Here is a 26,074-nt window from a genome sequence, read left to right on the forward strand (position 1 = left end):
GCCTCCACCTCCCGAGTTCCAGCGATTCTCCTGCTTCAGCCTCCTGGGTAGCTGAGATTACAGGCACACACCACCAAGCCTGGCTAATTTTTGTATTTTTAGTAGAGACAGGGTTTCACCATGTTGGCCAAGCTAGTCTTGAACTCCTGACCTCAGGTGATCTGTCTGCCTTGGCCTCCCAAAGTGCTAGGATACAGGCGTGAGCCACCGCGCCCGGCCATGAGTAAGAATTTCTATGGTCAATGTATACGTATATGCTGTATGGGTGTTTTATGAGACTTTGGTATAAATGTTATGCTCACTTCATGAATAGAATTTGAAATGCTTCCTCTTTTTTCTGTGCTTAAGGCAGAATCAACAGCAACCAACTCTCTGTTCCTTAAGTTTTCACAGAATTATCCTATGAAATAATTTGGGCCTGGTGCTTCTGTGGATTCAGCTATGGAGAAATGCAGTTCTCTAATAACATCTATTTCTTTTTTTCCTTTATTTTGAGACCGAGTTTCGCTCTTGTTGCCCAGGCTGGAGTGCAATGGCACAATCTCGGCTCACCGCAACCTCCGCCTCCCGGGTTCAAGCAATTCTGCCTCAGCCTCCCGAGTAGCTGGGATTACAGGCATGTGCCACCACGCCCGGCTAATTTTGTATTTTTAGTAGAGACAGGGTTTCTCCATGTTGGTCAGGCTGGTTTCAAACTCCTGACCTCGGGTGATCTGCCCGCCTCGGCCTCTCAAAGTGCTGGGATTACAGGCGTGAGCCACCGCGCCCGGCCAACATCTATTTCTTCTATGGTAATTGGTCTACTTAGAATTTCTATCTCTGGAATGTTTTGGTAAATTATATTTTCTTGGAATCTTGTCCATTTCATTCAAGTTTTCAAATTTATTATGTAGAACTGACTGATCATGCAATGCTTTTAAGTTTTCCTGTATCTATGGTTATTTCCCCTTTATCATTTTGTATTTTGATGTGCTCCTCTTTCTTTCTTGAGCCAACCACCCTATTGTTGCCTTTTTCAAATCTCTTATTAGTATTCCCATTTCCATTTCTATTTTTTATTTTCTTCTTTTATTCTTACGAATTCCTTCTTTCGGCTTTTCTTAGGTTTACCTTGCTATTTTTTCTGAATTATTTAATTTACTTTTATTTTGAATTTTTAAAAGCACTGTATTGGTATATCCCACAGGTACTAATATGCAGAGCTTGCTCTTTTTTTTTTCATTTTTAAGATATTCAGTAATCTCAGTTTTGAGATGGTTAAGAGGATTTCTTAATCAGTTTTTTTTTTTTTTTACATTTTGAAAATGTTATACAATTTTGCATTGTTTTATTCTCCACTCCTTTGTATCCTACGACAGTCTCCCGCCCCGTTTCTTCACCTCAGTTCTCTAAAGATTGAAGGTCAAGAGGAGGGTTTCTTGCCCTGGAGCCTGCGATAGGGTGGGCCCTTGCGGTTCTTGGGCGGAAACGGCGATAGGGACACCCAGGGCCTAAGGAGGCTGGGGACAGAGCAGATCCTCCCAGCCCCCAACATCACCCCGGAGTAGATGCAGACCCCCAGGGTCCCGGAGGCCGAGACCACACCCCGCGGGCACGAGCCCGATTGGCAGATTGTAGCCGAGTGGTTTCAACGGTGACGCCCCCCACCCGAATGCCTCGCTGGGATTGGCTCATTTCTTGGTTCAGACCTGGACGGTGGCCAGAGGAGGACAAGAGGCTTTTACACCGAACGGAGGTGATGTGGACGACAACGGAGACGCAGCCGCACTTCACCAAGCGGCCGGTCCGAGGGGACATGGCGGCAACCTCTGCAGCGTCAGTGCTGCTGGCGGGTGCAAGAAACTGGTGGCGACACTGCCTGAGCCCGCTGCTGTTGCCAAGGTGACGAGGCATAAAGCCGCGGTGGATCGGTGCGTGGGGGCGCGGGGTGGGTGGTGAAGGGAGAACGAAGCTCGAGCGGAAAGACAGGACCGCGACCGCTTGTCAGGGGATTCGGCTTCCAGTCCCCCTTCCAGAGGGCGTCCTTCTGCAGCCAGGCCTCTGTCTTCCCCCGCCCCCACACGGTACGAGCTACAGAATGCTTTTCTGTTTTCTCTTTTTCTATAGTAAGGAAGCGCTTTCCTTTCTCCCCCGTTTATTCATTTGCTTACTTCTGGTTCCCGTGTCCTTTTAACATGTCCCCCCGTCATTCTCTGTTTAAGGACACAAGATGTTCCAGGCTCATCTTGTACTTAGCTCCTGCCTTGGAATCAGACATTTCTCCAAAGAATCCTGGTTCCTTTTTTTGGAGAATGCTATTTTACAGCCGTATCTGGGCTGTAGGTTGTGTTCGTTGCTACTAGGATGCCATCGCTTCTAGACTGTCTCAGCAGACAACGCTAGGAAATTTTATGTATATATATATGTAGAGAGAGAGAGATGCAAACACACATATTTATGTACATATGTGTGTGTATGTACGTATATATACATGTATATTTATATGTATACACACACCCTCCCCACACACATCCATACATGCATCAATCCAGGCACATCTATATCTGTTTTATATCTATCTATCTACATGTATGTTTAAAAAACAGCTGACTTCATACTGTTAACTCAGTTCCAGTGCAGCATCTCACGGTTCAATCAGATTTGCCCTTTCTGTAATTGTAACTGTTTTCTGAGAGTGAGAAAGCTGGCTCTCCTTATCCACAAGATATTCACTTTTTTGCTCAATCGTGTGCAAAAAGTAGATTCAAAATTGCTAACCCATACCACTGTGTAAAAACAGACCAACTAGCCAGAGTTCAATATTGGTTTACAGTTATGTTTGTCTTTAGTTTCTGTAATTAAAACTGTATTATACAGGTTATGAAGGCAGTCATAGAGGTTTTATGACTATAGAGGTTACAAAGTCTCTATAATTAAGATGTGGAACTAGTGTGTGAATAATATAAAAAGACAAGTAGAATAGAATAGAAAATCCAGAAATAACCCCAAGTGCAGGTAGAAAGTTAAAGATAAAGGTGCTATCACATATCATTGGAGCAGAGTTGGGCTTTGTAATACACAGAGCTGGGCCAACTGGTTGGCCATTTGGAAAAAGATAAAATTAGATCTACACCTTATAGCGTAACAAAAATGAAGTCTAAATGGATCAGGGATCTAAATGTGAAAAATGAAACAATACAAGTACTAAAAAGAAAAAGGCTTTCTAACTATGACTCAAAAAACCATAAGCAATAAAATAAAAAGTTGATAAATTTGACCACATAAAACAAATAGCATGGCAAATACATCATAAAGTCAAAAGACAACTGAAAAAAAAAACTGGATTGGGAGAAAATATCTGTAGCACGTATCACGGGTAAAGGATGAAGATCTTTCATATTTAAATTTGAATTTTAAAACTTTTCCAAATCAATTTTCTCTGTTTACATTCAGCAGTGGCAAAGTGACTTTATCTTTTACATAAGAATATGTCAAAAAAGTAGCAAGTTATACTGCTTTTAAAGATAAGAGTCATCCGTTTAAAAATACTTATTATATCATGTGTCTTAGGGCCCCAAAGGAAACCCTAACACAGGAATTCCTGTGCAAATAATTAGAAAGTTTCCAGGAAAAAATCACAGGGTAATAGAGAAATAGAATAGAAAGGGAAGGAAGGCCAGTGAGCAAGCTGCTCTAAGCCTGTTCCCCTGGAGGTGGCTCAGTGCTGCTTAACTCTAAGTCAGTGTGCATGGTCAATCCCTGGAGTCGTCCTTACCAGAGAACCAGCAGGCTGGTGTGTTTATGTCTCTACCGAGTCATTAGTTAAGGTCTGCCCTCAGGGAGACCTAACTTCCCAGATACTTCGGGTTTTATAAAAATATAAAACATCATACTTAAGACTTAGTATAAAGTTGTCCATTCAGAACCTTCTTTTTAACTATTGTCCCTGTATGCAGGGAGTTTTTGTTTCAAATTAAACAAAAACTAGGGTTGCAGATATGGTTTATAGGACTGTATCTCAACAGACTGACAAACTGAAGCTTTCTTTCTGGGTAGACTGGGATCCATGCCTTTTCTGTTCACTGTTGTCAAGTTTAAATGCAGTGTGCAACATGAAAACCGCAGTGATGTGTTATTAGTTGGGAATCTTTGTCATTTGGGATATCTGCATGCTATCTGTTTTCAGAGCTCACTGCTGTATTAGCTATGAAGTAAAGCTTGTTTTAACAAAGCAATAGGCTTCATTAAGATCAAGGCTGTGTATAAGTCATGGTTTCCTACTGGAAAGATAATTATCTTTAAGGTAAATGATAACCAGTGAATACATATCGGAACAACTTCCCTGGAGATGTCAATGCAGAGCTTATTCCCTGTTTATACATCTTAAACACAGAATAATAATGTAGGAAATGTCTATTTTGATTTTTCCTAGGCCTTTTTTTAGCCAGTGATATTTAGGATATGGGAGGGAAAATAGCCTAATGAAGCAAGTTGCTACACATGAATATCTAGAGGTGATACTAAGACTTTCGAAAAATAGACTTTATTTTATTTTTAAAATGGTTTTAGGTTTCCAGAAAAAAGTTACAGGTTTACAGAGAAGATAGTACAAAGAGTTCCCATATACCTTGCACCCTATTATTCCTGTTATTAACATTTTATGTTAGTATGGTAAATTTGTGGTGTAATTATATTATGGTTATTATGATACCATTTTTTTCTTTTTCTTTTTTCTTTTCTTTTTTTTTTTGAGACGGAGTCTTACTCTGTCACCCAGGCTGGAGTGCAGTGGCATGATCTCAGCTCACTGCAACCTCCACCTCCCGGGTTCAAGTGATCCTCCTGCCTCAGCCTCCCGAGCACCTGGGACTACAGGCGCACACCATCACACCCAGCTAATTTTTGTATTTTTAGTAGACAGTGTTTCACCATATTGGCCAGGCTGGTCTCGAACTCCTGACCTCATGATCCACCTGCCTTGGCCTCCCAAAGTGTTGGGATTACAGGTGTAAGCCACCTCGCCCGACCAGTGTGATACAATTAATGAACCAACATTGATGTGTTATTATGAACTAAGGTCCACAATTTATTCAGGTTTTCTTAGTTTTTATGTAAAGTGCTTTTTCTGTTCCAGAATCTTATCCAGGATACCACATTCCATTTTGCTGTCATGTTTCTTTAGACCCCTCTAGGCTGTGACAGTTTCTCAGATTTTTCGTATTTTTGGTGACCTTGACAGTTTGGAGGAGTATTACTCAGGTATTTTGTAGGATATCTTTCTGTTAGAATTGACTGATGTTTTCCTCTGGATTAGACTTGAATTTGGGGCTTTGGGGAGGAAGACCACAGATATAAAGTGTGATTCTCTTTTTTTTTTTTTTTTTTTTTTTGCGACAGAGTTTTGCTCTTGTTGCCTAGGCTGGAGTGCAATGGTGCAATCTTGGCTCATTGCAACCTCTGCCTCGCGAGTTCAAGCAATTCTCCTGCCTCAGCCTCCCGAGTAGCTGGGATTACAGGCATGCACCACCATGCCTGGCTAATTTTGTGTTTTTTGTATGGGGTTTCTCCATGTTGGTCAGGCTGGTCTCGAACTCCCGACCTCAGGTGATCCGCCTGCCTTGGCCTCCCAAAGCACTGGGATTACAGGTGTGAGCCACCGCACCCAGCCTAAAATGTGATTCTCATCACATCAGATTGAGAGTTATGATGGTTGCTGTTGACCTTAATTACATGGCTGAGGTAGTATTTGAAAGGGTTCTGTGCTAGAAAGTTACTCTTCTACCCTCCTTCCACTCTGTACTATTAGGAAGGATATCACAATGTCCAACTCACACTTAAGTGAAACATTTTTTCCTAACTTTTCAAAAGGAGCAGGTTGTTTTGGATGAAGCAGATAAAAATGTTGAACCAAGGAATTAAGGATCAAATCCATGAGATTTACTAGAAATTAAATACAAGTACTCATGTGTGCACATGAGTTTTCTCCAGCTGGCAGGTTGGATTCATTGTTACAATATAGCTGTGAAGTGCTATGTTGTCCTTGCCCCCTGCTCAAAGCAATTGTTTCCCACAATCTCTGTCTCACTCGGTTCTATAGTAAGACATGGACGCTTGGTCTCAAACATTATTTCTCTAAGTATTGTTATGAAACTATTACATCTCCTTAATTGATTTGCCAATATAATTAGTCATTGTCTTTTTTTTTTTTTTTCAGAGTCTCACTTCATCACCATGCTGGAGTGCAGTGGCACTATCTGAGATCACTGCAATCTCCGCCTCTCGGATTCAAGCGATTCTCGTGCCTCAGCCTCCCGAGTAGTAGCTGGGAGTACAGGCATGTGCCACCATGCCCAGCTAATTTTTGTATTTTTGGTACAGACCTGGTTTCGCCTTGTTGGCCAGGCTGGTCTCGAGCTTCTGACCTCAAGTGATCCGCCTGCCTCGGCCTTCCAAAGTGCTGGGATTACAGGCGTGAACCACTGAGACTGGTCAGTTATTGGCTCTTTTTAAAGATTGTGTTGCTTTCTGCCTCAATATTAATATGTTGGAAGTTACCAAGAAGTTCATGACAGATCTATTTCAAATTCTGGTGAAGAAGGAAGAATTGGCCCTTGAAAGAATCAGTGTTTTACAATAATTTTGAAAGAGGGTAATGTTTTTCTAATTGATATACATAAAAACCATAGCCAGGGATTTAAAATTTACCTTCTTGTTTAAGCTCTGTACTAAAATTGCAGAAACTAGTATCGTGTCTTACCATTTGTAATAAAGCTATCAGAGAAAACCCAAGGAAAAAAACAGCTGTACCAGATAGAAAAACTGAGTTGAACCTTTTTTTTTTCTTTTTTTTAGATGGAGTCTCACTCTGTCACCCAGGCTGGAGTGTAGTGGCGCGATCTCAGCTCACTGCAGTCTCCATCTCCTGGGTTCAAGTGATTCTCCTGCCTCAGCCTCCCAAGTAGCTGGGATCACAGGTGCCCACCACCATGCCTGGCTAGTTTTTTGTATTTTTAGTAGAGACAGGGTTTCACCATGTTGGCCAGGCTGGTCTTGAACTCCTAACCTCAGCTGATCTGCCTGCCTCGGCCTCCCGAAGTGCTGGGATTACAGGCGTGAGCCATCGTGCCTGGCCTGAGTTGAACCTCTTTTTTAACAACAGGGTACTTTGTTCTAAGATTTGGTACAGTAATATCTATATTTAAGCAGAATTAGTAAAATCAATGAATAACTATTCTCTTCCAATGGTAGGGATGAGGTATAGAAATCAAATGGCTTTTTATTCCAACTCTGACATGAATTAACATTTTCTTCTTGGGAATACTATAAGGAAGGAAATTGTATGCTCTTTATGACAAGAGATTGACCAGTCAGGTTGTTCCTTGTAGAACACAGAGTGAAAGGTATCCGGGCTTCTAAGAAACAGCATATGCCAGTTTCTGGTGTGATAAGAGCTGCTCTTCCCTAGTATTGCTAATTAAGATGCTATTAATATCTGATTATAGTTGAGCCTTGAACGACATGATTAGGGGCACCAACCCCCATACAGTCGAAAATCTGCATATAATTTGACTCCCCAAAAACTTTACTATGAACAGCTTAATGTTGACCAGAAGCCCTACTAATAATAGTCGATTAAACACATATTTTGTATGTTATACATATGATATATTGTATTCTTACAATAAAAGAAACTAGAGAAAAGAAAATGTTATTAAGAAAATCGTAAGGAAGAGAAAATACTTTTACTATTCATTAGGTGGAAGTGGATCACCATAAAGGTCTTCATCTTCCTCATGTTCATGTCAAGTAGGCTAAGGAGGAGGAGAGAGTGGAGGGGTTGGTCTTGCTGTCTAAAGGGTGGCAGAAGGAGAAGAAAAGCCACGTGTAAGTGGTCCTGCCCAGTTCAGACCCGTTTCCTTCAAGGGTCCACTGTATTTTCTTAGTAAACTGAGGCAGGATCTAGTTACATTGTAGCTGTGAAGTGCTGCATTGTCTTTGCCCCCTGCTCAAAATAAAACTGTTACCTTTCAAGCCCTGTCTGCCATGGTGCTGTAGCAGCAGGGATGTTTGGTCTCATACATGTTTACCAATTTAAGTACTGACTTGACAAATGACTCTTGAGAATTAGGGGTTGGTGGTGTTTTGCAGGTAGCGACAGAAGGAAGAAAACATTATCAGGAGGGAATTCAGATAAAGGACAAACCATATTTTGACTGCTACTGACTTGTTGGTAAGTATTCCATTTCTTTATTTAATGACAGTATCTATCTAGCAAAATTTGGTTTAGAGGGAAAGTTTATAGTAGACTTTGCCAGCTGAAGTTGTAGGGGGATAAAGATCACACTCCACAGTGAACTATGCTGTTATATATAGTTCATTACTCTTATGTGGCCTAGAAGAGTATGCAGCAGTTGCTTTTTGAAGCATAAATATACTATCATATCTGAGGTTCTTGTTGCCCAGAAGGAGTCAGGAGTGACAGATAACATGTGACTATTGAAATGCGCTTAATGCAACTTTTTTTTTTTTTTTTTGAGATGGAGTTTTGCTTTTGTTGCCCAGGCTAGAGTGCAGTGGCGCAATCCCGGCTCACTGCGACCTCTGCCTCCTGGGTTCAAACGATTCTCCTGCCTCAGCCTCCTGAGTAACTGGGATTACAGGTGCCCGCCACTACTCCCGGCTAATTTTTGTATTTTTAGTAGAGACAGGGTTTCACCATATTGGCCAGGCCGTTCTCGAACTCCTAACCTTAAGTGATCCACCCGCCTTGGCCTCCCAAAGTGCTGGGATTACAGACATGAGCCACCACGCCCAGCCTATTTCATTTAATTTTAATTAATTTAAATTTAAATAGCCATATGTGGCTAGTGACTATTTATTGGACAGCATAGTCCTAAACAACAGTGAACATTTCAGAGCTGGCATCTGTAGTTAATTCTGAAAGTGTATCAAAATGGATTCATAACTGTTCCTTTTGTTTTGTGCCTGGTATTTACTTCTGTCCCAGACTGACATGACACCCACTCTTGGCTGGCCCACTTTGGTAGGGGCTTTAATTTTACTACCCTAAACCCAATACTTTCATCTGCTTTATAAGTAATAATGTTCATTTCGCAGCCAGATGAGCCTTAACTCCGTTTATACTAAATGCAAAAGAAATCTTTTGTTTTTCTCTAGATATTTTGATCAGTATCTTGTATTCCATTTAGAAGCACTCTACATATAATTCTGGCAAATAAACAGCCACTGATGATTAACTAGTAGCTCAGATTGTTCAGTGGTTCACGTAGTACTTGCTGAATAATATTCTGATTCATATGTTTTCTTTTGTTCAGAACTGGCAGTCGGGGTCAACTTGGGAAGACAGCTGTGACCATAAATATTAAAGAAGACAAAAGGATTCTTTGTGACACTGAGACCTTCTGCAGTACCACAGTGGAGGAAATGCCAGTGTACACAACTGGCCTCATTTAATTCCTGGGAGGAGATAGTTTGGGATGCAGTGCTTGTTGTTGCTGAGCAGGCGATCACAGCATGCACTGTGTTTCTTTCTTTGAGAATATTTGAATCCTGCCTGAATACTCGTAACAGATGAGAGACGCAGGTTTTGATAGCATAGATTTACGCTGTCATTAGTCATGAGCTCTTGGGACGAAAGTAATTGGTTTTATCCTGTTTAGAGTTAGACCCTGTGGTTGGGTATGAAAGATGAGTGTCTGTAAAAATCCTTCTTAGAAATGTATTTCCTCAAGACTCTGTCTCAAAAAAAAAAAAAAGAAATTTATTTCCTAGTTCTGTAAAAATCGCTATATTGAGTGTTCTCTATCACTTAATAATATACTTATTATTAAGTGGACTTAAAGATATGCAGTGTATAAAATCAGCTAATTACGTTAAACCATGGTATCTCCCTTTATTGTGTTAGACTGAATAGAACAAACTTTAAAATAATTTTTTAAAGAATATATTTGAATTCATTTTGTTTGATAATATGTTTTTATTCAGAAAAGCATTTTATTAGCGCTAGGTGTGAACCCGAGCCTTTTGCTAAATACCAGCAGCAATCATGTCCTAGAGTTAAATCCCAGAAAAATTGCCATATTATATATTAAAGGTTCAATAAATTACAATAAAGTATTTTTTCTTTAAAGTGATTTGGTCCTTATTCCTTAAAAATCATACTTTTTGCCATAACTCCATATTTGCAAAGGAAGAAGATGAAATGAAATAGTACTCTATAGTAAATATTTTATTCCAGTTACAAAATTACATACAAATGTGGCTTTTTATAAAAAGGTTTAATAGTTCCAAATTGGGCTGGGTGCGGTGGCTCATAGGCCGGGCACGATGGCTCATGCCTGTAATCCCAGCACTTTGGGTGGCCCAGGCGGGCAGATCACCTGAGGTCAGGAGTTCGAGACCAGCCTGACCAACATGGTAAAACCCTGTCTCTACTGAAAATACAAAATCAGCCAGGCGTGGTGGTATGTGCCTATGATCCCAGCTACTCGGGAGGCTGAGGCAGGAGAATCGCTTGAACCCGGGAGGCAGAAGTTGCAGTGAGCCAAGATCACACCACTGCACTCCGAACCTGGGCGACAGAGCGAGACTCTGTCTCAAAACAACAACAACAACAAAAGTTCCAAGTTAGCTGCTGCTTGGCACTAGCACAAAGACTGATCAATGAGGGTGTTCATCAGCACCGTCTGCCAAGCATTATCTGCTTCTTATGAGAAAAAGGAAGCAATTGAACATAAGATTTTTCCCTCTTCTGGTGTGGCAAAAATTTTCTGGTACATGCAAAGTAGTTACATAACAGCAAAGTTTTCTTTGTTAATGGACTAATATTAATCAGTAAAGTTTTTTTTTCCGTAACAATAACACAGAGTAGATATAATGGGTCCTATAAAAGAAAAATTGACATTGAACGTGATCTTTTTTTTAAAACAATAGACTTTATTATTTAGAGCCATTTTAGGCCAGCAGAAAAACTGAGCAGAAAGTACAAAGAATTCCCATACACTCCCTGTTCTCACACACGCACAGTCTCCCACACTTCTCCATCCCACACCAGAATGGTACATGGGTCACAATCACTGAACCTCTATTGACATGTCATTATCACTCAAAGTCATAGTTTACATTAGGGTTCATTCTTGGTATTGTACATTCTATGGATTTAGAGAAATTTATGATGAGGTGTCCACCATTATAGCACCATACAGAGTATTTTCACTGCCCTGAAAATCCTCTGCTCTACTGATTCATCCCTCCCCGCAACCCCTGGCAACCACTGATTTTTTCTTTTCTTTTCTTTTCTTTTTTTTTTGAGACGGAGTCTCGCTCTGTCGCCCAGGCTGGAGTGCAGTGGCGTGATCTCGGCTCACTGCAACCTCTGCCTCCCGGGTTCAAGCGATTCTTCTGCCTCAGCCTCCCAAGTAGCGGGGACTACAGGCGCCCACCACCATGCCCGGCTAATTTTTGTATTTTTAGTAAAGACGGGATTTAGTAAAGACCGTGTTAGCCAGGATGGTCTCGATCTCCTGACCTCGTGATCCATCCGCCTCAGCCTCCCAAAGTGCTGGGATTACAGGCATGAGCCACCGCGCCCAGCCGACCACTGATCTTTTTACTGTCTCTATGGTTTTCCCTTTTCCAGAATGTCATGTAATTGGAATCCTACAGTATATAGCCTTTTCAGATTGGCATCTTTCACTTATATCACTTAAGCTTCCTCCATGTCTTTTCATAACTTCATAGCTCATTTCTTTTTAACATTGAATAATATTGCATTGCTTGAATGTACTACAGTTTATCCATTTGCCTACTGAAAGACATCTATGTTGCTTCCAAGCTTTGGCAATTATGAATAAAGCTGCTATAAACATCAACGCACAGGTTTTTGTGCAGACATAAGTTTTCAGCTCCTTTGGGTAAATACCAAGGAGCGTGATGGCTGGATCATATGGTAAGAGTATGCTTCATTTTGTAAGAAACTGCCAAACTGTCCTCCAGCTTGGCTGTGCTATTATATTCCCACCAGCAGTGGATGAGAGTACTGTTGCTGCACACCTCTCCAGCATTTGGTGTTGTCATGTTTTGATGACAGACATCAGATTCTTATTTTTCCCACTCAAATTATTTATCAAGGGCCAGGCATGGTGGCTAACGCCTGTAATCCCAGCACTTTGGGAGGCTGAGGTGGGCAGATCACTTGAGGTCAGCAGTTCAAGACCAGCCTGGCTAACATGGTGAAACCCTATCTCTACTAAAAATACAAAAATTAGCCAAGTGTGGTGGCTCATGCCTGTAGTCCCAGCTACTTGGGAGGCTGAGGCAGGAGAATTGCTTGAACTGGGTAGGCAGAGGTTGCAGTGAGCCGAGATTGCACCACTGTACTCTAGCCTGGGCTACAGAGAGAGACTCCGTCTCAAAAAAAAAAAAAAAAAGAAATCAAGTTTTGTCTTGACCACAGTTTATAATTTGTTAAAAGAACTTGTCTGACATGCAATGAATGTTCTACCAAATAGTATCGCCTAGAAAATAATATGTTAATGAATTTCGGGAAAGAGCCCCTGTCCTTTCTCAGTCCCAGTATTGGTGCTTGCCATTTTCTTCACCATAAAACTGCTGCTGTCACAAGGTAAATGCTAGACTCCTTGGAAGTATCATATCAATTAAAAGTTATCACTGCCTTCAGTAAATAAATGTGCAAAAGGAGATCCAATGAATAAGCTGCAGGAAATGGCATCTACCCTGATGTCCATTCCCTACAAAGTGTAGGAGACAGGTGGAGAGAGCTGCATAAAGATGAGACAAAAAATCAAAACAGGCCAGTCGTGGTAGCTCTTGCCTGTCATCCCAGCACTTTGGGAGGCCAAGGCGGGCGGATCACCTGAGGTCGGGAGTCTGAGACCAGCCTGACCAACGTGGAGAAACCCCGTCTCTACTAAAAATAAAAAATTAGTCGGCCATGGTGGTGGGTGCCTACAATCCCAGCTACTCGGGAAGCTGAGGCAGGAGAATCGCTTCAACCTGGGAGGCAGAGGTTGCGGTGAGCTGAGATTGCACTGTTCACTCCAACCTGGGCAACAAGAGCGAAACTCTGCCTCAAAAAAAAATTTTTTTTAAATCAAAATTAAGCAAAACCAGCAAACAAACCCTAACGTGCTGTATTAGGAAAAGGCATAACTACATAATTTACTAAGTAGCCTTTACAGCCCTGTGTCTTAGTGTGTTCGGGCTACTGTAAGAGATGACCATAGACTGGATGGCTTACAAACAATAGATATTTATTCTCACAGTTCTGGAGGCTGGGAAGTCTAGGATCAAGTCACTAGCAGATTTGGTGTCTGGTGAGGACCCATTTCCTGGTTCATAGATGGCCACCTTCTTCCTGTGTTCTCGCATAATGAAAGCGACAAGGGAGCTCTCCAGGGTCTCTTTTATAAGGGCACTAATCACATTCATTAGGATACAACCCTCTTGACCTAATCATCCCCTCGAAGTCCCACCTCCTAATAACCCTCACACTGAGGGTTAGAATTTTAACATTTGAATTCGGTGGGTCGGAGGAAACAAACATTCAGGCTATAGCATTCCACCCCTGGCCACAGCAAATTCATGTCCTTCTCACATGCAAAATATATTAATTACATCCTAACAGCCCCCAAAATCTTAACTCATTCCATAGTATGATCTTAAGGTCAACTCTATAGTCTAAAATCTAAAGTCCTATCTAAATATCTAGATCAGATATGGGAGAGACTCAAAGTACAATTCATGCTGAGGCAAATTGCTTTCTAGCTGTGAACCTGTAAAACAAAACAAGCTATGTGCTTCCAAAATACAATAATAGAACAGGTATAGGATGGACATCTCCATTCCAAAAGAGAAAAATAAGAAAGAGGAAAGTTATAATAGGCCTCAAGGATGTCCAAACTGTAAGACAAACTCTATGAAACTTTAGGCTCAAGAATAATTCTCTTTGGCTTGATGCTCTGCCCTCCAGGTCCACTGGGGAGAAGGTCTTGCCATTCAGTCCCACTGAGGTGGCGTTTCTGCTCTCACAACTCCACTTGGCAGGGATTTTGTCCCCAGAACACTAGGTAGTTCACACAGGTTTGGACAGAGGCAATCTGGCCTATTAAAAGCAAGCCAGTGATCCCCCTTTTGAGACCAAGAAGGCAGCTCTGATCGTCCCTGAATTGCCTTTAGGGCCATTCTTCCTTTGTCTTGAAGAATAGTGCACATTCCTAGCCAAATGGTCCCATTTGGCTATCCAAGAAGTCTGACAGCCTTCCTTCCTTACTTCCCATCTTCTTCCCCTCCACACATTCTTCTTAGGTGTCAGTTCAACTGCTACTTTTTCTCCTGGTGTGACTAATTAAATTCATGATTCACATCCATTCTAATCTCCCTTTCAAATGGTTGCTTGGCAACACTCTGAGCATTCTCATTTTTCACAATATGGATAGCTGGGAATTTTTCAACTGTTTAAATTCTGCTTGCTTTTTGCTTTAAAATTCTGTCTTTAAGTCATTTCTCTCTTCTGGCATTTTACTATAAGCAGTCAGGAGGAGCCAGGCCACGCCTTCAACACTTTGCTTAGAGATTTCTTCAGCCAAATATCCAATTTCATTGCTCTCAAGTTCTACATTCCGCAAAACAGTAGAACATGAACCCAACTCAGCCCAGTTCTTTGCCACTTTATACTACAGACCACCTTTCCTCAGGTTTCCAGTAACATGTTTCTCATGTCCATTTGATACCTCACCAGAATGACCTGTACCGTCCATATTTCTACCAAAAATCTGTTCATGTTTATCTAGTGCATTAGCCCATTCTCACTTTGCTATAAATACCTACGTGAGACTGGGTAGTTAATAAAGAAAAGAGATGTAATTGACTCACAGTTCTGCAGGCTGTACAGGCCTCAGGAAACTTACAACCATGGTGGAAGGGGGAGGGGAAGCAAGCACATCTTCACGTGACAACAGGAGAGAGTGAAGGGGGAAGTGCCACATACTTTTAAACCATCAGATCCCATGAGAATTCACTCACTATCACAAGAACAGCAAGAGGGAAACTACCCCACGATCCAACGACCTCCCACCAGGTCCTTCCCCCAACATTGGAAATTACAATTAAACAAGAGATTTGGATGGGGACACAGAGCCAAACCATATCACCTAGGTATCTATAAGAAGATGGAGGCCGTCTCTCCAGCAAGCCTCGCTTCCTTTTGAGCCCTCACCCGAATCACCTTTCCCAGTCACTTAGTGGCAATATCAGCTTTTTCTTTTCCTTTTTTTTGCTTTGTAAACAATATAGTTGCATACAAATATAAAGTTATGTACCTTCAAAGGTGTGACTACAGCAAACAAAACATCTTAAAATGTTTTAACAATGTACAAATACATTCATAAAATAATTAATTTTATTAATTATGAATAATGAATTTTATGAATGAGTTATGATAAATAATCAGTTGTGAGAAAAACTCTGCCAGTTGAACTGAAGGGGAAGGAGATGAGAAGAAACGAAGGAAGGCTGTCAGGCTTCTTGGATTTTATAGGATGGGACCATAGTGCTATTTGGCTAAGAATGTGCACCACTCTTCAAGACAAGGGAAGAATGGTTTCAAAGACTCCAACAGAGTTTATAGTACCTATAATACAATCTGCAGGTGCCTACAGTGATTTATAGGTTGGTTTAATTTGAAATTATATGTATTTCTTAGTTTAAAAGAAGTCACTGGCCGGGAGCAGTGGCTCATGCCTGTAATCCCAGCACTTTGGGAGGCCGAGGTGGGTGGATCACGAGGTCAAGAGTTCGAGACCAGCCTGGCCAATATGGTGAAACCTCATCTCTGCTAAAAATACAAAAATTAGCCGAGCACGGTGGTGCATGCCTGAAGTCCCAGCTACTCGGGAGGCTGAGGCAGAAGAATTGCTTGAACCTGGGAAGCAGAGGTTGTAGTGAGCCGAGATCACACCACTGCACTCCAGCCTGGACAACAGAGTGAGACTCCTTCTCAAAAAAAAAAAAAAGAAAAGTCATTAATACAAATGCATGATTTACAATGTCCCCATTATAGCAAGAAAAAATATGCATAAAATAAAATGTATTTTAGACCTTTATTAGGTCAAGTATTTAATGATTATTCTCACTATAACATAAGAATAATGCTCTTTTAGTGGTAAAAGATTTCACTGGACCAAGGACCACTGAAGAGCTTCCATAAGTTCCAAGAAGTAAAATCTTGCTATCCAGTCCATAAAATAAATACAACGGCAGAAATCTCTGCGTTTCCCTTAAACTATGAAGATTCTGTTTATATTAATTGGGCCTTAAGAAAAAGACTTGTTACAAATAAAAACAAATAAAATTTTAGAAACTAGTTAACACCACTGGCCTGAATTTGGTTTTTACTTGCTTGCGAATCTCTAGGATGAGAAATTTCACCATGAAGTGCATATTAAGTTGTAAAATTTACAATTATTTCTAAGTTCTACATAAGCCAAAGTGCTCACTTTTATTATGGAAACAAACCTTTCTTCTGAAAATGATGTACAGAAATAATAAGTAAACACATAGAACTTTGAGATAGGCTAAGAACATTTGTCTGTGTTCTACAGATCAAAATGATGCAAAGGTCTCCATTACATATGTTTATGAACACAAACATTTTTATTAATTTGTGATATATGGACATTACATAAGTATATGCATACATGTGCATACCATAAAATACATTTTAATAATGTTTCCAGCTGCATCATGCCTTCAAGCCTCAACTGTTAGAAAAAAAAAGCAAACTTAGTATGAACACAGCTTTTCCTCTTTTAAAATAAAAATTGTCAGTGGAAAAACAAATCCAACTTATTTGCAGCATGTACTGAACTCTAAAAGGTTCAGAGTCAAGAATCTTGTTAGTTGCTCCCTGATGTAACAGAACATGTATGTTTTCTCTTTCTACTCAGGGAGTCTGATTATCTCCAATATTTTGTCCTATGAACTTTCCAAGATAAGACATAGCCGTGCTGGTTAAATTCTTTCTGCTACCCATTTTACACCTGATGTAGCCAGATAGCTTGGCACCTTATTGCACCACAGCTCTGATGATCACTGCGAACCACCGCACTCTGAAATGAAACAGAGCATCAAAGGAGAATATCACCCACAGCACTGAATAGATAAGCCCCAACCAGAAGATGATGCTGCCTCTGGCACAGCTTTGTTCTCTTGAGGGGATGCCTTCCTAGCCTTCCTGGACTCAAATACCCAATGGCTCATTCCACCAATGCAGGCCAACCATTAGTCTACCTATGACATTACATTGCAACATCAATATCAGCTTTTTCTAGCAGGTACTGCAAAACTCTTCCAGCCCCTACCCCTTACCCAGATCCACAACTGCTTCTACATTTTCAGATATTTATTACAGCAACATCCCCATTTCTTGGTCCCAATTTCTTAGTTCATCTGGGTTGGAAAGTCTGAGATCAAGGCACTGGCAGATTCCGTGTCTGACTTCCTCATAGATGGTCATCTTCTCCCCTGTCCTCTATGGCAGAAAGGACAAGGGAGATCTCCAAGGTCTTTTTTTTTTTTTTTTGAGACAGAGTCTCGCTCTGTCACCCAGGCTGGAGTGCAGTGGCGCGATCTCAGCTCACTGCAAGCTCTGCCTCCTGGGTTCATGCCATTCTCCTGCCTCAGCCTCCCGAGTAGCTGGGACTACAGGCGCCCCCCACCACGCCCGGCTAATTTTTTGTATTTTTAGTAGAGACGGGGTTTCACCGTGGTCTCGATCTCCTGACCTCGTGATCCACCCGCCTCGGCCTCCCAAAGTGCTGGGATTACAAGCGTGAGCCACCGCGCCCGGCCTCTCCAAAGTCTTTTTTTATAAGGTAACTAATCTCATTTATGAGGGCTCCACCCTTATACATAATCACCTCCCAAAGTCTTCACATCCCAATCACATCACAGTAGAGGTGAGGATTTCAATATGTGCATGTGTGGGGTGGGGGGCTGGGCACAAATATTTAGCCTATAGTACCCTGCTAATTAATGTGGATTTTATTCAGCAAGGGTGGGGATCATTCATTATCTCCATTCAAGGACACCTTTGATACTTTTTTGAACTTCGTAGCACAAGGCACTCCTTCCTCCTCCACATTTCCCCTTCCAAGGGCCCCATTCCCACTTTCTTCCTCCCACCTCTCTAACTCCCAAGGCTCCTTTCACATGCCATTAAATGTGACCCTCTGCTATCCTCTCCACACTCTTTTATTTATTTATTTATTTATTTATTTTAAGACAGAGTCTCACTCTGTAGCCCAGGCTGGAGTGCAGTGGTGCAGTGAGCTCGGCTCACTGCAACCTCCATCTCCGGGGTTCAAGCAATTCCCGTGCCTCAGCCTCCCGAGTAGCTAGGACTACAGGTGCATGCCACCATGCCCAACTAATTTTTGTATTATATTAGTAAAGACGGGGTTTCACTATGTTGGCCAGGCTTGTCTCAAACTCCTGACCTCGTGATCCACCTGCCTTAGCCTCCCAAAGTGCTGGGATTACAGGTGTGAGCCACCGCGCCCGGCTCTCTCCACACTCTTCTTAGATGTCCCATCTGCTCCTCCAAGCATCAGACCAGTGTTCCCCAGGTGTGTTCAGTCAGATGACCTGTTGGCACCTCAACATGTTCAAAGCTGAACTTACCATCTTGCCACATTGCTACTAACCTCATTACCTTGAACCTCTTCCCTAATCTAGACTTCAGCAAACATATCCAACTTTTCCTACCTTTGGTCTTGTTTTATCTAATCCATTTACTGTGCAGCCCCCAGGGTACAGAAACAGCTGGATTGTTACATCATAGTGTTTGCCTTATTTGAACACAGTTCGAACAGTTGGCCACCTTTGGCCGAAACTCAGTGATTGGTACAAGACTAGATTACAGTCTGTTTACATATCCAGTTAGGTGACACTTCACTATGTATGGAGAAACCTTTAGGCTGAACTTAAAATATGTAAGGAGGCAGCTTTAGCCTAAACTTAATTTAACAGGTGGTAGCAAAGGTTCTAAGGAGGGAGATTCTTCATTCAACAAGCAGGGAACCCTACCCGAGAGGGGCAACATGAAGGCACGCAGGCTTGGGCTCACTCCTGTTTCCCAGCTCATCCTTGTAATAAATGTTTTTCACCATCAGGACATACTTCTTGTTTACATATGACCTTTAGCAGAATACGTATACATGATATAAAACAGGATGATTGCCAAGTAGCAATTTTAACTGCTACAATACACTTTATCAGCTCTCATATATCTACCTGTTTGAAAATGCTTATCTGGGCCAAGCGCAGTGGCTCACACCTGTAATCCCAACACTTTGGGAAGCCAAGGCAGGTGGATCATCTGAGGTCAGGAGTTCAAGACCAGCCTGGCCAACATGCTGAAACCCCATATCTACTAAAAATACAAAAATTAGCCAGGTGTGGTGGCGGGCACATGTAATCCCAGCTACTTGGGAGACTGAGGCAGGAGAATTGCTTGAGCCCGGGAGGTGGAGGTTGCAGTGAGCCGAGATCGCGCCATTGCACTCCAACCTGGGCGACAGAGCAAGACTGTCTCAAAAAAAAAAAAAAAAAAAAGAAAGAAAAGAAAAAGAAAATGCTTATCCCTTTACTGAAATGAAATACCTTTTCTTACTTGTCCTGCGTGGCAAATTCCTACTCATCAAAAAGGTTTTTTTTTTTTTTGAGACAGAATCTTGCTCTGTCGCCCAGGCTGGAGTGCAGTGGCGCGATCTCGGCTCACTGCAAGCTCCGCCTCCCGGGTTCACGCCATTCTCCTGCCTCAGCCTCCAGAGTAGCTGAGACTACAGGCGCCCGCCACCACGCCCGGCTAAATTTTGGTATTTTTAGTACAGACGGGGTTTCACTGTGTTAGCCAGGATGGTCTCGATCTTCTGACCTCGTGATCTGCACGCCTCGGCTTCCCAAAGTGCTGGGATTACAGGCGTGAGCCACTGCCCCGGGCCATGAAAAAAGCTTTCAGTGTTCCGATGAGTTCCCTGATATGCCCAGGATATGCTTGTATTACACTGTATCATAGGGCAACCCAGTTTTAGAGAGCCAACCTGGAACACAAACTAGACGAAAAGGACAGATAATAAAGTAACATAAAATAAATATATGTGTGTGTTTACTTTAACATAAAAATATGAAAAATGGGAGTTTATTTGAAATTACATATTATTCTGTATTGTTTACTTTTATGTTACATAAATGCTATTATTTAAGCAAAAGAACAATAAGAAATTATCAGTGACAGTAGTAGCAAATACTAGTACTGATTAAACAAATAATATGTGTGAGAAAATATAACAATATTTTATAATGTTTCTATTCTCTGATATAGCAATTTATTTTAATTCTCTTTGTTGCATAATTAAATTTGGCAGACTATTATTACGTATTCTTAAAATGAACACTTTAAAACAGAACATGAATACATTTGGAATAAACAGTTTATGACCTACATTTAATTTAAAATAACATATTTTTTGGTCCCATAATACAGAATACTTTTTCTGTTTCCTTTTCCAATAATATTCTCTAACTACCTGCAGCCAGTTTAGGGCATCTGTCTTGTCTTTTATATAGTAATAAAACTGAACACATTCTAGTGTAAAAATTCACTTTGCCTTGCTGCGCTGCTCTTATACAACCCCCATTACACTGATTCCCGGTGCCAGTCCATGAGGACATCAAGCTCAGTATCCTCTCAACAAAAGTATTTGAGCATGGAATACTTGGGATTTACTTAGGAGCAAGAGCAGGTTTTCAGACTTGCAGGAATTTGTTTCCAGCTCTCCAAGGGTGCCCACTCGCTTTGCAGCCACAGGCTTGTTTTGACTGATCAGCTGTTTGTCAGTCAGGTCCTTTGCTTCTGTTAACATATGGCTGGCAACAATGATAGCTGTCTTGTAGGCACAATCTAAGGAAGCCATCTCCTTCCATTTTTATAATGTCAGAATTTCATTAAGTGATTCTGCACATTTTGAGAACATTGAAAAATGACCAAAACTTTCATTGTGAAAACCCTCAGTATCACGGTAAGCAAATCACACACCCCACCCTTTTTTTTTTTTTTTTTTTTTTTTGACAGTCTCACTCTGTTGCCAGGCTGGAGTGCAGTGGCGCGATCTCGGCTCACTGCAACCTCCGCCTCCCAGGTTCAAGCAATTCTCCTGCCTCAGCCTCCCGAGTAGCTGGAACTACAGGCATGCACCACCACACCGAGCTAATTTCTGTAATTTTAGTAGAGACAGGGTTTCACCATGTTGGCCAGGATGGTCTCGATCGCTTGACCTCATGATCCACCTGCCTCGGCCTCCCAAATCACACCCCTTTTTAACAGTGTTATGTATACAGGATATGCAGGATTTTTCGCAGGTAAGATCTTTGCATTCTGTTAAGAAGTTCATAAACAGAATCGAGTTTGCCAAAATTATATGTACTATCTGCCAAATATATGCAGAGACAGTCAAAGTCCAGTTGGTATTTATTTGGATAAGATAGCAACAATTTTTGTTTTCTCCCATTTTATGAAAATTTTCACAGAAATAAAGAAGATAATTTCAAACTGCATTTTTCAAACCAAGTACCTACAAACGAGGGAGAACATTTTTTTGTTGCTGCTGCAATTTGATATACTGCTTGATACAGTGTAGAAAACCCCTGTAGTAATATCTGACAGATGGCAGTTCTCCACTGTAAGGGGCCAATATATCCATTATCAAAATTTTCCTCTGGCCTGGGTGTGGTAACTCATGCCTGTAAGTCCACCACTTTGGAAGGCCAAGGCAGAAGAATCGCTTAAGGCCAGGAGTTCAAGATTAGCCGGGGCAACATAGCAAGTGATGAATCACTACTAAAAATTTTAAAATGAGCCAAGTATGGAGGCACATACCTATAGTCCTAGCGACTGGGGAGGCTAAGGCAGGAGGATCACTTGAACCCAGGATGGAGGCTGTGATGAGCTATGATCATGCCAGTGCACTCTAGCCTGGTAACAGAGCAAAACCCTGTCAAAAAAAAAAAATCCCTTTTGCTCACCCTTGGGAGATTTTAGTTGGAACCTGAATCAGTCATCTGAATGTGATTTTATTGGGTCTCACAAAGCAATCAAAGAAATGATAATATATGGTCATTCACGTGTTCTGCCCAAACTTATTTAGCAGCTGCTATTTTCAACTGGTAAGTGTCTTTGGGAGGGGATGAAATTTTTGATTGATTTAGAAGGACTTGCCTGTCTGAGCTCAGACATGTGAGATTCAGTCTTCATATATGCTTTCCCATCCCCTTCTTCACCGCTCTTAATCCCAAATGCTTTTCTGTCTAGTGTGCAGAATGTACTGTCTTGTTTATTTACCTTCCTTATCCTTATTTTGTTGTTGTTGCTGCTGCAATTTGATGTACTGCTTGATACAGTGTAGAAAACAGTCCTTCCATCCATCATTAAAATAACAGTCATTTAACTTTCTTTTATGATGATGTTTATATCATGCTAGCTTTGGTATTGTAATCCTTCTCAGTTTCATTTCCTGAACTCTTAGAAAATATGATCACATTACTCACTGTGTTAAAATTAAACTAGCACTATCTCAATACTAAACACAATAGAGAATCCACAGGCCAAATCAAAGATGAGCTGTTGACACTCACACTTATCATGCACTTAGGTCATGAGTTTAAGTTGCATCACTTAGAGTAATGCACACATGGATGGCATCACTCAGAGTAATGCTCAAATTACTTAGAGTAATGCACAAATCAATTATTGTAAACTGCCAACCCTAATGGCCGACATCAATAACCAGGAGGGAAAAAAAGACCATAGCAACTCTGGAAAGCAGTTAATCTATGCTGTATCTATTCACCACTAAAAACAGTGTTGCGGCCAGGCACGGTGGCTCACGCCTGTAATCCTAGCACTTTGGGAGTCCAAGGCGGGTGGATCATCTGAGGTCAGGAGTTTGAAACCAGCCTGGCCAACATGGCGAAACCCAGTCTCTACTAAAAATACAAAACAATTAGCCGGGCATGGTGGCACATGCCTGTAATTCCAGCTACTTGGGAGGCTGAGGCAGGAGAATCGCTTGAACCCAGGAGGCAGAGGTTGCAGTGAGCCAAGATCGTACCATTGCACTCCAGCCTGGGGAACGAGAGTGAAACTCTGTCTCAAAAACAAAACAAAACAAAACAAACAAAAAAAACCAGTGTTGCTTTCAGGCCTATGGGGGAGGGGCTGCCATATGGATTTATACATTTTCCCCAACTTTCCACGCCCGTTGCTTAAAATTGGGACTGTTCATGTACTGGGAAGGGTTTCCTGGGAACCCTGTGGCCTCACTGGGCACACCCTGGTCTCCACCTGCTTACTGTAGCTTCCTGGATACTGAAGGTTTCTGACTTAAAGGTGCTCTTGATTGTGCATTCATAGATATATAACCGAAACAAAGTTGCACCAAACAATATTTACTCTTGCTATAGGTGATACATATTTTCCTGCTTCGTTTTTTCAATTCTGTTGGTGACTCACAATTCCGTGAACCATTTAGTGGAAACCTGCAATTTGAAGAGAACACCAATAGGGGGATCCAAAGTTCTATCCAACTGTAAAGTGATCCTAACGCTTGATCATTGCCAAAACAAAAATAAACCCCATGGTGAAACCCCATCTCTACTAAAAATACAAAAATTAGCCAAGCGTGGTGGCGGGCGCCTGTAATGCCAGCTACTCGGGAGGCTGAGGCAGGAGAATCACTTGAACCCGGGAGGCAGAGGTTGCACTGAGCTAAGATCACACCACTATGCTCCAGCCTGGGTGACAGAGCAAGACTCCGTCTCAAATAAATAAATAAATAAATAACCCCCAAAGTTCATGTAAGTAGGTAACACTATTCAAAAGAAAAACTAGTGTACTGTAATCAGGGGATATTCTATGACTATCAGAAAAAAATTAATTCATTTAATCATTCCATTCTGATTCCAGTTTTCTCTCTTTGTTGAGGAAATAATGAAACCTGCTCTTCTGAATGTTTCTGTCTTCTTTTTTTTTTTTTTTTGGAGATGGATTCTCGCTCTGTCACCCAGGCTGGAGTGCAGTGGTGCAATCTTGGCTCACTGCACCCTCCACTTCCTGGGTTCAAGTGATTCTCCTGCCTCAGCCTCCTGAGTAGCTGGGACTACAGGCACCTGCCACCATGACTGGCTAATTTTTATATTTTTAGCAGAGATGAGGTTTCACCATATTGGCCAGGCTGGTCTCAAACTCCTAACCTTGTGATCTGCCCGCCTTGGCCCCCCAAAGTGCTGGGATTACAGGTGTGAGTCACCGCACCCAGCCTTCTCTGTCTTCTTTATGGAAAATACACTCAAATTTTAGGTCTCTTGTTCTAGTCTGAACAGGCTCATATGAATTAGGAAATGGGACTGGCGTTCTAATTAAAAATCAATCTGATATTCAGAATGCTCCATGAGTCACATCAGTATTAAAGATGAAACTGAATCAGGCTTAAAAGTCATGGTCATATCACCTGAGGTCAGGAGTTCAAGACCAGCTTGGCCAACGTGGCAAAACACTGCCTCTACTAAAAATTAGCTGGGCATGGTGGAGGGTGCCTGTAATCCCAGCCACTCAGGAGGCTGAGGCAGGAGGATTGCTTGAACCTGGGAGGCGGAGGTTGCAGTGAGCCGAGATCACACTACTGCACTCTAGCCTAGGCAACAGAGTGAGACTCCACCTCAAAAAAAAAAGAAAAAGAAAAGAAAGATAAAACTACCTGTAAATTCTCTGTTACATCAATTTCTACATTTTAATTATTTTTTTCTTTAGTTTGTTGTGATCTATTCCTTTTTAAACAAATATGCTCCTGCTAAAACTAGTCCAAGAGCCATACTGACATGTTTTTAAAAATCACAAATCACTCAGTATTTACTGAAAAGCTTGTAATTTCAACTTCACAGATTTTTCTTAGTAAATCCATTGTAGTAAATGACACTGGGAAGCATAAATGGTTACCATTTAGTAGTAGTGATTTATCCTGTCCACCTAAGTAAGAAGGGAACAACCTAAAGTTTGCACTTATAACCCACATTTTAAGTGTAGAAAATGATATTTTCTCTCAGTTTTTGTATCATTTGTTAATTCAATTTGAGAGCTTCCAATTTGTTTGAACAGAAAATATAAAATTCTACTCAGTAGCTGTCTTGGAGTGTTTGGTGGCTGTGACTTGAGCCAGGAAACTTTACCTCAAGTCATGGGCAAAGATTAGGGGCCATTTGGAGCTATTGTCCCTCTAGACACACACACACACACACACACACACACGCACAGAGCATTTGTATTAGAATTAGTTCTTGATTTAACATTAGTTCAAAGACTTTAAATTCCAACTGAGCATAGGTATGGGACAGAGGGAAAATCTGAATTATTTTATTCTCTCTCACTGCTGGCAACGTAAGACCTACTGTCTAAATTCAACAAGATCCCCACCTATTGCTGAAAGATATAAACTGTTATATCTTTCCTCACAAGTTAAACATGGGTGTAGATTTCTGTTCAATAGCATGAAAAAATAAAAGCAGGGAAATGCCAAGTGAACAAACAGGCAAAGATGAGCCCTGAATCTTCACTCGGGAAACTGATAACACAGAGATTATAGAGTGTTATCAAATTCTAAAGGAGTTACACTAAAAGTCATTTTAAAATTCCCAGTAACTAATCTGATTATGCAGAAGTCAAAACTCATTAAAAAGGCTGAAATATAAAGTAGGTCTCAGAGAAGTCAAACATTTGCTTTTCTTAATTGGCCCTGAGTATTTATTCTTGAGACACAATTGTTTTGCTAACATCTGCTTCCTTTTCTAAATATAATTTTTGTCCATGTTTTTTCTTTTTTTTCTTTCTTTCTTTTTTTTTTTTTTGAGACGGAGTCTCGCTCTGTCACCCAGACTGGAGTGCAGTGGCGCGATCTCGGCTCACTGCAAGCTCCGCCTCCCGGGTTCACGCCATTCTCCTGCCTCA

At 41.3% G+C, this 26,074-nt stretch overlaps 1 long non-coding RNA gene, 3 other non-coding genes and 1 pseudogene across 5 annotated transcripts, besides 1 other annotated feature; 4 read left to right on the forward strand and 1 right to left on the reverse strand.

Annotated features, from left to right (window-relative positions):
* Nucleotides 1,391–1,926: an enhancer, noted in NCBI's record as "H3K27ac hESC enhancer chr3:183165063-183165598 (GRCh37/hg19 assembly coordinates)". NCBI's record gives its function as "activates a minimal SCP1, AML or CMV promoter by ChIP-STARR-seq in naive H9 embryonic stem cells {active_cell/tissue: H9 hESC(naive)}" and the evidence as "EXISTENCE:reporter gene assay evidence [ECO:0000049][PMID:30033119]".
* On the forward strand, nucleotides 1,724–10,129 carry SNHG33 (small nucleolar RNA host gene 33). 2 transcript variants are annotated; one of them, NR_038302.1, is made up of 4 exons: nucleotides 1,724–1,881; nucleotides 6,194–6,628; nucleotides 8,128–8,209; nucleotides 9,315–10,129. It is a non-coding gene; the product is annotated as a small nucleolar RNA host gene 33 (long non-coding RNA). The 2 variants fall into 2 exon arrangements; NR_038301.1 differs by having other exon boundaries at nucleotides 1,767–2,063.
* On the forward strand, nucleotides 5,975–6,106 carry SNORA63D (small nucleolar RNA, H/ACA box 63D). Its single transcript, NR_145727.1, has one exon. It is a non-coding gene; the product is annotated as a small nucleolar RNA, H/ACA box 63D (small nucleolar RNA).
* LOC124900564 (small nucleolar RNA SNORA81) lies at nucleotides 6,683–6,848 on the forward strand. Its single transcript, XR_007096340.1, has one exon. It is a non-coding gene; the product is annotated as a small nucleolar RNA SNORA81 (small nucleolar RNA).
* Nucleotides 7,930–8,062, forward strand: SNORA63E (small nucleolar RNA, H/ACA box 63E). Its single transcript, NR_145763.1, has one exon. It is a non-coding gene; the product is annotated as a small nucleolar RNA, H/ACA box 63E (small nucleolar RNA).
* TVP23CP3 (TVP23C pseudogene 3) lies at nucleotides 16,967–17,317 on the reverse strand (annotated as a pseudogene).

Source organism: Homo sapiens, chromosome 3 (assembly GCF_000001405.40).
Source record: "Homo sapiens chromosome 3, GRCh38.p14 Primary Assembly".
Lineage (NCBI taxonomy): Eukaryota > Metazoa > Chordata > Mammalia > Primates > Hominidae > Homo > Homo sapiens.